Below are 14,169 nucleotides of genomic sequence, written 5' to 3'. Positions count from 1 at the left end.
TCACGACACAAAGCCAACACACCTAGAGAAGGAGCACCCACCTGTCACCCTTCCCTGCTCAGTGAGACCTGACCCCACATCCCACCCAGGAGCACACTCCCCTCGCAGAGTCCAACGCCCCTCCCACAGCCCCTGATCTCCCTGCAGCCCTACACCCCACCCTCTTCCGTTCCACACGCCCAGCAGCCCCTGGCCCATACCCAGGACATCACACAGGCAGTCCCATCAGTCCTTCCAATAGCTCTGCACAAAGTCAGCCTACACCACTCTACACACAGGCAGGGGCCCTCCTCCCCTGATCCCACAATGCCCTGCCATCTCCTCACTGGTGACCTTGGGGGTTGTTCCCCTCAGTCCTCACAGTTTGTGATGACGAGACTTCCAGCACAGCCCCAACACACACCAAGTTCTCAGCAAAGGGGGCTATTCTAAGCAGGTCCAGACTCCCTCTCATGGAAAACCCTCTCAGATCAGCACAGAGAGAGCTGATCCCAAATGACACACATCGACTAGGGACAAATGTTGGAGGTACTTCTTTTGGGGGAGATGCAGGGAAACCACAAGTTTGGGGCACCAGTAACATCCTGGCAAGGAACATCAACATATAGACAAAAAGCATATAGACCAGAAGCACCTCTCGGTTGCTGTTCCCACCTAGAGTCAAGGAGCAAGAGACCCCTGGACAGAGGCCAGGCTCCACCCCATGCCTGCAGGGGACAGACCCAGAGACAGAATCGCCTGCGTTTCCTTAAAGGGAATGGGAACTAACAAGCTCCAAGAGTCACATGCGCCTGCGATGCCTCAGCCAGATCAGCAGGCTCTGGCTGCCGAGGTCTAACTCAAATCCAGCCTACTGCAGCACCCCTGTTCCATCCACCACCCTGCAGAGGCAGCACCTGAGGGTGCTCCGGTCAGAAGGGCAAGAGCAGGAAGACCGCTCGCCAGAATCAAGAGTCGTCTCCCCTTTCAGGCCCTCTCTTCTCTCTGCTTTCCCTTGCAGCAGGAATGCCCAGCACACCCCAGGACCCCCAGATCACAGCCCCCTGCCCCACCCACTGCCTTTCCTGTACCATCAGAACCTACAGGACCATGAGGGAGGGGAGCTGTTCAGTCCCTCCTAAGGACCTCACACAATGCCACTGACCCCTAACTTGAAAAGCCACATCTCCAAGGCAGAACCAAGGGGTGGTGGAGAGGCAGGTCTCTGGAGCTCTTTGTCTTGGGAGAAAGGCTGACGACAGGTCGACACCCACCGAATTATCCAGGCTTGCACACACACGCAGGCCACCCTGTCGGGGCCGGAGGATATAGCAATTGAATCCCACTTCTGAGTCAAAAATGCAAGAGTCCCGCAGTGTGGCCAGCGGCCCCAGAACACAGCTTGCCCCAGCTAGCCCCAGCCCCGTTTCAGGCCTGGACTGGACAGCCAGCTAACTTTACAGGCCAACAGAGTACACTTACACCTCCAGCCGGCACTCTCCCAGACTGGCTCACGCCTGACAGCTGCCCACCTCCAAGGAGGGAGGCCTGTAAACACCCCCTGGACAGGCATGGCCTCTGCTTCCTAGGCTGTCCCAGGACAGCTAAGGTGGCTGTTTATATAATCTTGCAGGGCTGGGGCTGACACCACGGTGATGGCAGGATTATGAAAAATGCATGCCCAGAGCCTCTGCAGCCAAGAAAAACCCCCACACGCATTCTGCATGACTCGGTTTTAAGACCTCTCACACGTCCATTTTGTGAACAAATGGAGCTCTCAGAGCAGCAGAGGCGACTAACCACACTTCCAGGCCTTGCCCAGCTGTCCCCAGAGCTCTACCAGGCACCACCTCTGGGTCACAGGCCCTGGGTCAGAAGAAGTCTCTGCAGGTATCCCTGCTGGGGCAGCCACGGCTTGCTGGACACAGGAAAGTACTAATTTATGGGCAGCCCAGAGCCCCCAAAACACTCTGACTGCACACACCGGGCCTTGAAGCCTCCACACTGTTTTGCAAAGACACAACAGTCCAGACTCCCTGGGTCATTAAAGTAGGTCATCGGGACTGGAGAAGCAGCAGCCTAAGAGACACAGCCTCCGAGGCCCACTCTCCAGGACCCTCTCTACGCCCACAGCGTGCACACTTACACCAAACGCACAACAGAGGCCTGCCCTCGCCACCAGCTGACTCACAAACCGCAACCTGCGCACGGACACAGCCAGGCCCCACATGCCGTCCGCACACCTGGTATGCATCCTGCCAGCCATCCACACAGAGGGTGACACACATGGAGCCCCGCCGCCCCCAGGGCTTCTTAAGGCCAGGCGCAGGAGCAAGGACAGGCCCAAGGACGCACTCGCGGACAGACCCTGCGGAAAGCCCCCTGCGGGCTGGGGCACCCTCACCTGCAGCTCACACCAGGCCACCTCCACCCAGGTCTCCGTGTCCAGCCCCTTGTAGACCGTCTTGAAGGAACCGCGGCCCAGCTCGATGTCGAACTTGAGGAAGCGGCCGTCCAGAGAGGTGGCCACGGCCTTGAGGTCGTCCTCGTCGTCCTCCTCCTCTTCGGGCTCGTCCCGGCGAGTGCGCCCGGGCTCAGGCTTCGCCTCGGCCGCCCCCTCATCCTCCTTCCTCACGGTCGCCGCCGCCTCCTCCCTGGGGCCGCCGTCGGGGGCAGGCGCGGTTTCGACAGCGGCTGCGATGGGGTCCGGGCCGGGCTCCTGCGTGCCCACGGGCTCGGGGCCGGCGTCCGCGGGGGCTCCGGGGGCTCCCGGCTGCGCTACCAGCGCTGCGGGCGCGGGGGCGGCGGGGCGTCCGCGGGCGCGCTCCGCGATGAGGCGGCGCGTCTTGCAGAGCAGAAGCACCCGGCGCTGCAGGGGCTGCGGGGGCTGCGGGCCCGGCGCCTCGGCTGCCTCCAAGCCCGGCGGCTCCTCCTGGTCCGACTCTACCACGCTGCGCCGCAGAAAGCGCTGGGGCCCCGGCCGCGCCGCCTTCGCCCGAGGCTCCGCCATGCCCGCGGGCCCCGCGCCGCGCCCGGGCTCCATCAGCGTGCCGGGGACGTCTCGGCGGCCGCCATCGCCGTCCATCTCTGTGGGCCAAGGACACACAGGCCCGCGTGAGCGCCGGCCCTGCCGCACCTGCCCAGGCCGCCGGATGAGACAACGCCGCCCTAAGCCCGCAACCTGCCCAGCCCCGGCCGCGGAGAGAGCCTGCGGGGGCCGTCTCTGGGGGCCCTGGGAAAGGGGGGCTGCAGACGGGACCAGAGGCTTGGGTTGGGGAGGAGGGGTCCGTGCCCTGCTCAGCCCCAGGCTGCGGAGAGGGACGGGCCTGTGGTGTCCCTGGAACCCTGGGAGAGAGGACCTGCTAGGGTGTCCCTGAGGGCCCCGGAGGCCGGCAGAGGGATCTCGCGCCCTGCCCAGCCCTGGCCCAGGAGGGTTCTGCTAGGCTGTCCCGGAGGCAGCTGTAAAGGGGATAGGGAAGCCCGGGGGTGGGAGGAAGGCAGTGGCCCGGCGGCGGCTCCACAAAGGACGCGGGCCCGGGGCGCGGGAGGGGCGCGCGGGGAGGGGGCTGCAGCGCCGCGGCGCGCACACAAAGGCGGCGAGCGGCGTTGAGGGGAGGCTCGGCACTCACAGGGCGAGCGGACGCCGTCCATGCCCGCGGCCCGGCGGCCAGGGCGTGCGAGGCGGGAGAGATCACGCTTCGAGGACGGGGTCCGAGTTCCGGGCGAGGTCCGCGCTGGGGTGGGGGCCGTGGCGCCGCTCCAGCTCCTGCGCGCTGCTCTCTCGGGCCGGGCCACTGCGGGGCCGCGCTCCCGCGTGCTCCTGCCGGCTTCGCGCGGCTCCGCTCCCGCACCGGCTCCGACCCGGCGCGCGGGGAGGGCGGGGCTCCGTTCGCCCCGCCCCGGACCGGCGCAGGGGGCTGGGCCTGGCACGCCCACCTGGCTGCGGACGGGCTGGCTGACTGGCAGGCGCGCGCGGCCACCTGCGGGCCGGCTACCTGGGCTCCCACCCGCGGTTCTTTGCTCGAGGTAGCGCTCCTGTCCTCTGAAGTTCTTTGGAACGCCCCGCAGGGCTGTCAGCTGCGGAGGACCCCGTTTCTTCCTGAGAGGAGGCAGCAGGCTCAACGCCTCAGCACGCCGCAGCCCGGCGCGCTAGACCTCAAGGCCCTGTGCCAGGACAGAATGGGCAGGCTAGGAAGAAAAGGACCAGGGGTACCGCCGCCCTCGGGAGCCCAGCCTGGGGCTAAGCCTGGTGGGGCTCAGCGTGTCCTTTCCTGCCCTCACTTCACCACCAGGAACCATGAGGACCTCATCATCACCCAGGGAGGCACTGGTGATCATTATGCCCATTTCACAGTCTAGAGCAAACTGAGGCGCCAAAGGCAGAAGTTATATGCTCTAAATCCCAGAACTTTCAAGACCGAAGCTGAGCTGGAATGCCTTGGATGGGATATGGAGAGGCTTCCAGAAGCCCCTTGACCCAAAGTGTTCTTCCTTCCCACCTCTGCCAGATGCCACCTCTCCCGAGAAGTCTTCCATGATCTCTAGCTCCTTCCTCCTCTAGACCCCCACGGACAAGCCCTCTCTTGGGCGTCTCTGGCCCTAATGCAGCAGGTGACCTGTGTCAGTAACCATACTGCTAAGTTCTGAGCCCTGCTCCAGGCAATGCCCTGAGCTAACACTTCACCCTTACCCCAGCCTCCATGATCCTAGGTGAGGAAACTGAGGCACAAGGGAGATACCAGAGTATTCTCATCTCAGTCCCCATCCCACTGGGCTGGCACCCCCATCAGATACACACACACTTCCAGAGATGAAAAGATGCTTGTGGGCCTGTAGGCCTTGGAGCCCCTGGCACAAAATAACTCATGTGGCATAAAAGCCAGCAGAGGCGATATCTCACCTTCACAATGTAGAGGGAAGAATATGCCAGGCCAACTGTTACCCAGAGAAGCAGGACTTCCTGGAGCCCCGCTGGGCACTGGCACTGGCTGAAACTAATTTGTGAGGGGCAACAGTGAACATCCCTTCCCAGCTCTGGGTTCAGCAATGCCACCCTGTAGCCTGAAGTCAGCAATGCTGGGAGTATTTACACTGCGGAAATTGGCAAACACCTCAAATCAGGACTTTTCTCCCCAGAGAGCCAGTGGTTAAATAGTGTGCTAGGTGTAGGGCTATGCATTTGGCACTTGCCTGTTATTTATATAATCTAATCTACCGTGTGAGACAGGCATTCATTCCGGGGCTCAAGTCCGCTGGCATGAGCCCAGAGCTCACACGAGGAGGAGGCCAAACAGCAGACGCCAGCTCTGCAGGACAGAGAGGCCTGAGGGACAGGGATCTAAGTTGCATCTCCTGGGGCAGGAGTCTTCCAGGTAGAGGTCAGGGGTGGAAAAGGATCTTTTCTGTCTTCCCTTTGGAGGCTAAAGACCCCCCAACCTTGCCCCTAACCAGCTGAGTGAACTTGGGCAAGTCCTGGTCCTTCCTGAGCCTCAGTATCTGGCCCTGCAGAGTGGGCTGATCATCCTGACTTGCCCACCTTAAAAGGCTGCCAATTCCTTGTAGATTCAGTCAATCTAGGAAGGGCACCAAGTCCACAGACCTGTTCATGATGGGTGTGTTCAAGCCTATCCAAGGGAAAACCAGGATGGGACAGAGCTAAGCGTGTTCTGAGACCAGCACACACCTATCTGGCCTCCTCCTGCTCCCAACAGGCCACACTGGCAGTGTGTGGGCAAAATACCTGCCAGCATCGGAGAAGGTTCATCAGCACCCATGGCTGCTGCCCACCCACACTTGTACACATGCGTGGGAAAGGATGGCTACACCCACAAATCAGCAGGGAGCAGCCCAGGCTGTGGGGAGTGGGGGACAGCCTGTCCCTGAGAGAGTACTGTGTGCTCTCTGAGCCCTTGGGGTGAATTCACGCATCTCTGCTTACACACCTCCCATGGTGGAGAGCTCATTCTCTCTGCCAACCCATGACCATTAGGGTACACAGCTAAGTCAGTAGTGGACAGGTCACAGTTTCCTCTGCAAGGAATCTCAGGCTGGGCTCAGGAGCAGCTCCTGGGATCCTGGCAGATGGAGCCTGAGGGATCCTTGGACAGACCTTGGAAGTCAGGACTTCACAGCACTGGCTATATGCCCTTTGGCAGGTCACTGGATATCTCTGAGCTTCCATCTCCCTGCTGCTAAGACGGGGAGTATAAATACTGTAGTCTGCTTTACTGGGTGTCCTGAGGCTGCATGATCCAGGGTCATGATGCCAGCATTTGTCTTTTGGAGGTTTGTTTTTTGTTTTCTGCTTTTGTTTTTGTTTTTTTGAGATGGAGTTTCACTTTGTTGCCCAGGCTGGAGTGCAGTGACGGGATCTCAGCTCAGCTCACTGCAACCTCTGCCTCCCAGGATCAAGCAATTCTCCTGCCTCAGCCTCCTGAGTAGCTGGGATTACAGGCGCCCACCACCACGCCCAGCTAATTTTGTATTTTTAGTAGAGATGAGGTTTCACCATGTTGGCCGGGCTGGTATCGGACTCCTGACCTCAAGTGATCCAACCACCTCAGCCTCCCAAAGTGCTGGGATTACGGGGCAGCATTTGTCTTCGATGTTTAGAACAGATGAGTACATTGAGGTCTTGCCCAGAGATTTTTCAACTTTAAGTAACTTTCTCAAGGCCTCAGAGTGGAGACAGTGACCTCTACCCACAGCTATCACCTTAGCTTCCACAATGCCAGGGAGCCCCTTTGGTGAAAAAAGTTTCTCCCAAGTCCAGGCTATGCTCCAGCCTACCCAGCCAGTAGGCACGTGCAGGCACACACCTGCTCCATGCAGATGCAGTTCCAGGAGCTGGGCCTCAGCAAGCAACAGGACCATGGTTTCAGTTTGCTCATCTGTGAGATGGGCATAATGGTCATGCTCAACAGTCTTGGCAACAAAAGGCATTCAACAAATGCTCATGAAAGAAGGGAGGAAAGGAGATGGGGCTAGCTCCACTGCCTCTGCTCACATCAGGGCCCATTGAGGGTCACTGGCTAGAAGGAAGAGCAGGGTCTAGCCATGCCCAGCTGGAGCTCAGTCCACAATTGCCCCGTGGGGCAGGTTCTGCCTCTGAGTGGAGTCAGGCAACCTATCTAGTGCTCAGGTCCAGTGTGGCCAGGCCACTTGCCTGAGTGCCCCCCGGGTCACACCATGGGGAGAATACCCTGGCAGGGGCATCAGATGGGGAGGACAGTGCTGGAAAAGCAGAGCCCAGAGAGGCCAGGCAAGTGGCTTGGGGGAATGCAGGAAGACCTGTGACCTGAGGAAGGGCGTGGGGACAGGATGAAGGCCTGACAGTGTGTGGTGGCAGGAAGGTGGCAGTAGGTGGGAGCAGGTGGGCTGTGGAAGCTCGGGCCCCTACTCCTGGAAGATGATGTCAGAGGATGGGAAGGGCATGACCAGGCTGCAGTGTCTTCCTGCTGTGGGTCATAGAGCCTCAGGACAACCAGCAGGATGGAAGCTCCCCGTGGGTAGGGCCTGAGGTAGGCAGGTCGGGTGGTACAGGATGACACAACGCTTCTGACTCAGCTGTGATGGATGAATGGTTGAAGAACTTGTTTCCTTCCAACAGCAGGGTTCCATTAGAAATGTTCCGAAGTATGACACACAAATCAGAAAACGATCCCGTTTCCTAAGTCAACACTTCACTGTGTAGGACTTTATTTGCGATTCTAGTGGAGAGGTGAGATTTGGGGTGACGCTCAGTTCTGGTAAGGCAGATCATACAGCTAAAAGTAGGCCAGGTGCTGTGGCTCACGCTTGTATTCCCAGCACTTTGGGAGGCCGAACGGGTGGATCACCTGAGGTCAGGAGATCGAGACCAGCCTGGCCAACATGGTGAAACCCTGTCCCTACTAAAAATACAAAAAAATTAGCTGGGTGTGGTGGTGTGCACCTGTAATCCCAGTTACTCAGGAGGCTGAGGCAGGAGAATCACTTGAACTTGGGAGGCAGAGGTTACATGAACCAAGATTGCGCCACTGCATTCCAGCCAGGGCAACAGAGTGAGACTCTGTCTCACGACAACAACAAAAACAAACAAACAAAAACAAAAACAAGAAAGGCCGGGCACAGTGGCATGCACCTGTAATCCCAGCTACTCGGGAGGCTGAGGCAGGAGAATCGCTTGAATCTGGGAGGCAGAGGTTGCAGTGAGCCAAGATCATGCCATTGAACTCCAGCCTGGGCAACAAGAGTGAAACTCCGTCTCAAAAAAAAAAAAAAGGTAAAACTGCAAGTACAGGGAAAAAGAGAGTGCATGGATGTGGGAGGAAGGCAGAGTCACCCTGACCTCCCCCGCAGCTCCTCTGGCCTCAGTTTCTCTATCTGTAGTGTGGGACCCGCTGGGCCATCTCAGCTGCTGGTAGGAGTCACCGTCGGACCTGCATGACCCTGTCTCACGCCCTCTAGCCCAGTGAGTCTTACACACAGCTGCCCTGCAGCATCTCCAAGGCCTGAGATGCCGCCTCCGCAACCGGAGATTCTGCTGTGTGGGATGGGGTGGGCCTGGCCTCAGGTGTTTGAAAGCTTCCAGGTGGTCCTGCGGAGACTCCACGTGCTGCGAGGGTCTGGCACACAATGGCACTCAATAAAAGCTGCCTGCGTGGGGGGTGCACTTGCATGGAAAGAGCAACAGAGCTGACCCTCCATTCCACTCTCTGGCCGCAAATCTTGTTTTGCTGTGCTCCCCGAGAGCAGCCTCATGCCATGTGCCTCTCAGGGTTGCTTGTTTCTCTCAGGGGAGGAATCAAAGTTCAGCTTCTGGAGCCCCACAGCTTCCCTGACTTGGACGCTGACACCCGGCTCCCAGGTGGCCCTGAGGGGCAGACAGGTACCTGTTGCCCCTGGAAAAGACCTCAGGTCCTGCTCACCAAGGCTTTTATTTCATTTTTGTGGGTCAGGCCGGCTAAGCCAGCTCATGTGGCTTAAAGGGCAGATGATGGGGGCCTTGCTGCTCTGGTCTCCTGGCGGAGGCTCCACGGCAGGGTGGAAAGGCTGCAGAGTACCCACTATTTAAAGAACCCTGTGGCCGGGTGAAGTGGCTCATGCCTGTAGTCCCAGCACTTTGGGAGGCTGAGACAGGTGGATCACTTGAAGTCAGGAGTTCGAGACCAGCCTGGCTAACATGGTGAAACCCCATTTCTACTAAAAATACAAAAATTAGCTGGGCATGGTGGCTCACACCTGTAATTCCAGCTACTCAGAAGTCTGAGGCAAGAGAGTCACTTGAACCCAGAAGGCGGAGAGGTTGCAGTGAGCTGAGATTGCACTCTGTCAAGAAGAAACAAAGAAGGAAAGAAAGAGAGAGGGAGGGAGGGAAGGAAGGGAGGGAAGGAAAGAAAAGAAGGAAAGAAAGAAAAAAATAAAACAGAAAATAAAGAATCCTGTTCCTCTGTTCTTGGAGGTGCAGGGTCCAGCAGGGCCTCAAGGGGTTCCGGGTTGACTAAACGGTTCATGGAGGGAGGGGATCCATGCCCCCAGGAGGAAATAAGCAATGCAGTCCTTTAGCCCCAGGGCAGCGGCCACCTGAGGCACCAGGACACACCCCTAGCCTGTCTGATGGTGCAGGACTGGGTGGCACCAGTCCCCCAGAGAAAGAGGACAGAGACCTGAGAAAAGCTAAGGGGCATAGCGGGCCAACAACTGACATCCCATGATTGCTGAGTTGACACCGGCCCATTCATGGTGGAAAACCAGCAGCATCCTCCGTTGTGACATATTCCCAGTGGCCACAACAAATCATCGGGCACAGCTGGCAAGAATTGGAAATGAGGCTGTGTTAGCAGGAAGTTGAGGCTGACATTTTCAAGGAAATACCCAAGGTTGGATTCGCTGGGGACCAGAACCAGCCAGGGTGACACTGGCTTTCGGCTTATGTCCAGAGCAGAGCGTGTCATGTGAAGGGCAAGCCAGGGAAGTGTCAGGATTTTGCTTTCTTCAGGGTATGACCTTCCCAGGGGTAATCTGGCCACATCTCCTTGATTGACCCCAAGCCTAGGCTACCACATGTTCCCCATGGGCCCACAGGGGAGAGTGACATCTGGGCCTAGAGAGATGGGGGAGAATGTGGAGCCACTGGGGAAGGTCAGAGGGAGCTCCGGAGCGGGCGTGCTGTGGGAGGGGATGGTGAACTTGGCTTGGCCTGCTTCCCTGCTGCTGCTAGGGACATCTGGCCGCCAGAGCCAGAGATGGGGGTCTGGAGTGCAGAGGGAGGAGGCGCAATGTTCTAGAACACAGTCCTTATTTCTCTGTTTTTAGTAATTTAAAAAATTATGTAACATTTCGTTTACTCCCAAATATCAAAACACTTTGATTTTTAAATAACAGCTTTATTTAGATATAATTAATGTACCTACCATAAAGCTCATTCTCGTAAAGTGTGCGATTAGGAGGTTTTTAGTACATTCAGTGTTGTGCAACCATCACCTCTATCTGATTCCAGAACATTTTCATCACGTCAGAAAGAATCCCTGTCCCCACTAGCAGACGACGTTCCCCATTTCCTCCTCCCCTCAGCCCCTAGCACCCACTGGTCCACTTTCTGTCTTTATGGATTTGCCTATTCTGGACATTTCACATAAATGGAATCCTACAATATGTGACCTTTTGTGTATTATTTCACTAAGCATCATGTTTTCAAGGTTCATTCATATTCTGTAGCATGCATCAGAATTTCATTTCTTTGGTTTCTTTTCTCTTTTTCTTTTTCTTTTTCTTTTTTTTTTTTTAGATGGAGTCTCACTCTGTTGCCAGGCTGGAGTGCAATGGTGCAATTCTTTTTTTTTTTTCTTAAGACAGAGTCTCCCTCTGTTGCCCAGGCTGGAGTGCAGTGGTGCGGCCTCGGTTCACTGCAGCCTCTGCCTCCCGGGTTCAAGCAATTCTCCTGCCTCAGCCTCTAGAGCAGCTGGGACTACAGGCACATGCCACCACACCCGGCTAATTTTTGTATTTTTTTTAGTAGAGATGGGGTTTTGCCATGTTGGCCAGTCTGGTTTCAAACTCCTGACCTCAGGTAATCCACCCGCCTCAGCCTCCCAAAGTTCTGGGATTACAGGTGTGATCCACCACCCCCGCCGCGATTCTTTTTTTAGGCCCAAATAACATTCCATTGTTTGGATATATGGACTGATGTTTCTTGTTTTTTTTTTTTTTTCGAGACAGAGTCTCACTTTTGTTGCCCAGGCTGGAGTGCAGTGATGCAATTTTGGCCCACTGCAACTCTGCCTCCTAGGATCAAGGCATCCCCTGCCCCAGCTTCCCAGCTGGGATTACAGCCACCTGCCACCATGCCAGGCTAATTTTTTATATTTTTAGTAGAGACGGGGTTTAATCATGTTGGTCAGGCTGTTCTTGAATTCCTGACCTCAGGTAGATGATCCACCCACCTCAGCCTCCCAAAGTGCTGGGATTACAGGCATAAGCCACCGTACCCGGCCTGGATTGATTTTTTTAAGAGCACAAATTCATTATAAAAAAATTTATAAAACCAGGTGTGGTGGCTCACACCTGTAATCCCAGCACTTTGGGAGGCCGAGGTGGGCGGATCACCTGAGGTCATGAGTTTGAAACCAGCCTGGCCAACATGGTGAAACCCTGTCTCTACTTAAAATACAAAAAAATTAGCCGAGCGTGGTGGTGCACCTCTGTAATCTGAACTTCTCGAGAGGCTGAGGCAGGAGAATCACTTGAACCCGGGTGGCAGAGGTTGTAGTGAGCCGAGATCGCACCACTGCAACCAAGCCTGGGCAACAGAGCAAGACTCCGTCTCAAAAAATATATATATATATATGAAACAGAAAAAGCAGAAATAAAAGTGTTTAGGCCAGGCATGGTGACTTACACCTGTAATCCCAGCACTTTGGGAGGCCGAGGTGGGTGGGTTGCCTGAGGTCAGGAGTTCGAGAGCAGCCTGGTCAACATTATGAAACCCCGTCTCTACTAAAAATACAAAAAATTAGCTGGTTCTGATGGCAGGCGCCAATAATCCCAGCTACTTGGGAGGCTGAGGCAGGAGAATCGCTTGAACCTGGGAGGTGGGGGTTGCAGTGAGCTGAGATCGCACCACTGCACTCCAGCCTGGGAAACAAGAGCGAAACTCCATCTCAAGAGAAAAAAATGGTGTTTTAAGTTGTGCACAATGTCACTACCTCAACATGATCCCCACCACAGCCCCTGTGGCAGGCACACAGCTATCACTGTGCAGCTGTCCACACGAGAGGGCAGATCAAATAAATGAATGTGATTGAACATTTTTCTTCTAACTACAGGGTTATTATTTAATTTTACTTGATTAGGCTCACACCAGATAAAAGGTCATATTTTCTGTTTTGCTTTAGACCTCAAACGTCCTGGGATTGCAGGTATTTGAGATCCCCACCAGGACTCCTGCTGAAGCAGGGCCAGCCCCCAGGCATGGAGAACATCATTGCCCCCCAGCCTCCTCTGATCAGACCACTGCCAAGCTGCACCAGTAACAGGAACCAGGAATCTTGAGAAGCTGGAGGTGAACTGTTGAGCCCAGTAAGTTGTGAAACCTCAGTTAAGTCTTACAGCTGAAATAATGATAATAATGGCCACCATTACTGGGCACTCAGTGTGTGCTAGGTGCTGAGCTAATGCTTTGCAAAAGTACTCTCGTTTCACCCTCAGGACCCCCTGGATGTGGCAGCATTCACAGATGAAAATGCAGCATGGAGAGGGGACCCATCATGACCGAGCTCCACACCCAGCAGGTGGTGCAGCCTGGAGGTGAGCCCAGGAGGACTTGCCCAAGACTCCATCCTGCAGCTGCCATCCAGCTTGTCCCCAGGCCTCTGTGGCAAGTCCTAGGTTCCCTTGAGGCTTCTCTCTTGGGACTCCTCTCTTATGAACAGAAAGTTGAGTCATGACCCTCCTTTAATTCTACGTTGACCCCAGGCCCAACCCTGTGTGCTGACTGTCCTCTAGCATAACCACTGCCTGCCACAGCCCTGAATTTGACCTTCCCCCTTGGCCCTGATGGTTCATGCCAGCCCCACCTCAGCCTACAACCGCTATCTTATACCTGCTATCTTTTTTTTTTTTTTTTTTTTTTTTGAGACAGTCTCGCTCTGTGCCCAGGTTGGAGTGCAATGGCACGATCTTGGCTCACTGCAACCTCCACCTCCCAGGTTAAAGGGATTCTCCTGCCTCAGCCTCCTGAGTAGCTGGGACTACAGGTGCGTGCCACCACGCCAGCTAATTTTTGTATTTTTAGTAGAGACGGGGTTTCACCATGTTGGCCAGGATGGTCTCAAACTCCTGACCTCGTGATCCGCCCGCCTCGGCCTCCCAAAGTGCTGGGATTACAGGCATGAGCCACCGCACCTGGCCCCTGCTGCCTTTAAATGGAGTCACCTGTGTAGACTGATACAGGCTTTCTGAAAGCAATTTGTGACTGGAGCAAGAGCCTAAAAATTGTTCTGACCCTTTAAGTTAGTAATTCTCTTTTGGAGAATTTACACTAACAAAGTGACCAGCAACGCAGATAGTGTTGTATAAAGATGTTCACTGAAGGATTATTTGTAATAAAACATTATGAATAATATAAATAGTTAAGGAAACAGTCCTATTCCTACATAATCAAATATGGTCAAGCCGGGTGCGGTGGCTCACACTTGTAATACCAGCACTTTGGGAGGCCGAGGCAGGCAGATCACTTGAGGCCAGGAGTTCAAGACCAGCCTAGCCAACATGGTGAAACCCTGTCTCTACTAAAAATACAAAAATTAGCCAGGCATGGTAGTGGGCGCCTGTAATCCCAGCTACTCGAAAGCCTGAGGCAGGAGAATCGCTTGAACCCGGGAAGTAGATGTTTCAGTGAGCTGAGATCATGCCACTGCACTCCAGCTCCAGCCTGGGCGACAGAGCAAGACTCTGTCTAAAAAAAAGGCTGAGCCATTTAAATGCTCTTCATGGAGTTGTGTAATGATTAGAGATACTGTGAAGTGACAACGCACAGGAAGAAATGCCGGAAGGAAATACACCAAAGCACTGCCAGTGAATGCTTCTGCTCTTGTGCATACGTCTGCATGTCAGACAAGAGGCAGTTTCGCCTGTGTCTTTAGACAGGGAGTGCTGACAGACCCCCAATGAGGCCATGAGATGAAGGAGGGGGCTCAGCAGAGAGTGTCG

At 55.6% G+C, this 14,169-nt stretch overlaps 1 protein-coding gene across 44 annotated transcripts in view, besides 1 other annotated feature; it reads right to left on the bottom strand.

The window, feature by feature from the left end:
- WNK2 (WNK lysine deficient protein kinase 2) overlaps nt 1-3,855 on the bottom strand; it is a 136,431-nt gene extending 132,576 nt beyond the window's left edge. For all 44 annotated transcript variants that reach the window (NM_006648.4, XM_047423745.1, XM_047423751.1 and 41 more), the window contains exons 1-2: nt 3,609-3,855; nt 2,384-3,066 (exon numbers count right to left, since the gene is read on the bottom strand). In NM_006648.4, the coding sequence (NP_006639.3) occupies nt 2,384-3,064 (681 nt within the window). In that variant the 5' untranslated portion in view covers nt 3,065-3,066; nt 3,609-3,855. The remainder of the gene's footprint in view (nt 1-2,383; nt 3,067-3,608) is intronic.
- Nucleotides 852-1,817: an enhancer, noted in NCBI's record as "H3K27ac-H3K4me1 hESC enhancer chr9:95948459-95949424 (GRCh37/hg19 assembly coordinates)". NCBI's record gives its function as "activates a minimal SCP1, AML or CMV promoter by ChIP-STARR-seq in primed H9 embryonic stem cells {active_cell/tissue: H9 hESC(primed)}" and the evidence as "EXISTENCE:reporter gene assay evidence [ECO:0000049][PMID:30033119]".

Source organism: Homo sapiens, chromosome 9, assembly GCF_000001405.40.
Source record: "Homo sapiens chromosome 9, GRCh38.p14 Primary Assembly".
Taxonomy (NCBI): domain Eukaryota; kingdom Metazoa; phylum Chordata; class Mammalia; order Primates; family Hominidae; genus Homo; species Homo sapiens.
The sequence above is the reverse complement of the archived record's forward strand: the minus strand, read 5'-3'. Positions and strand labels throughout refer to the sequence as shown.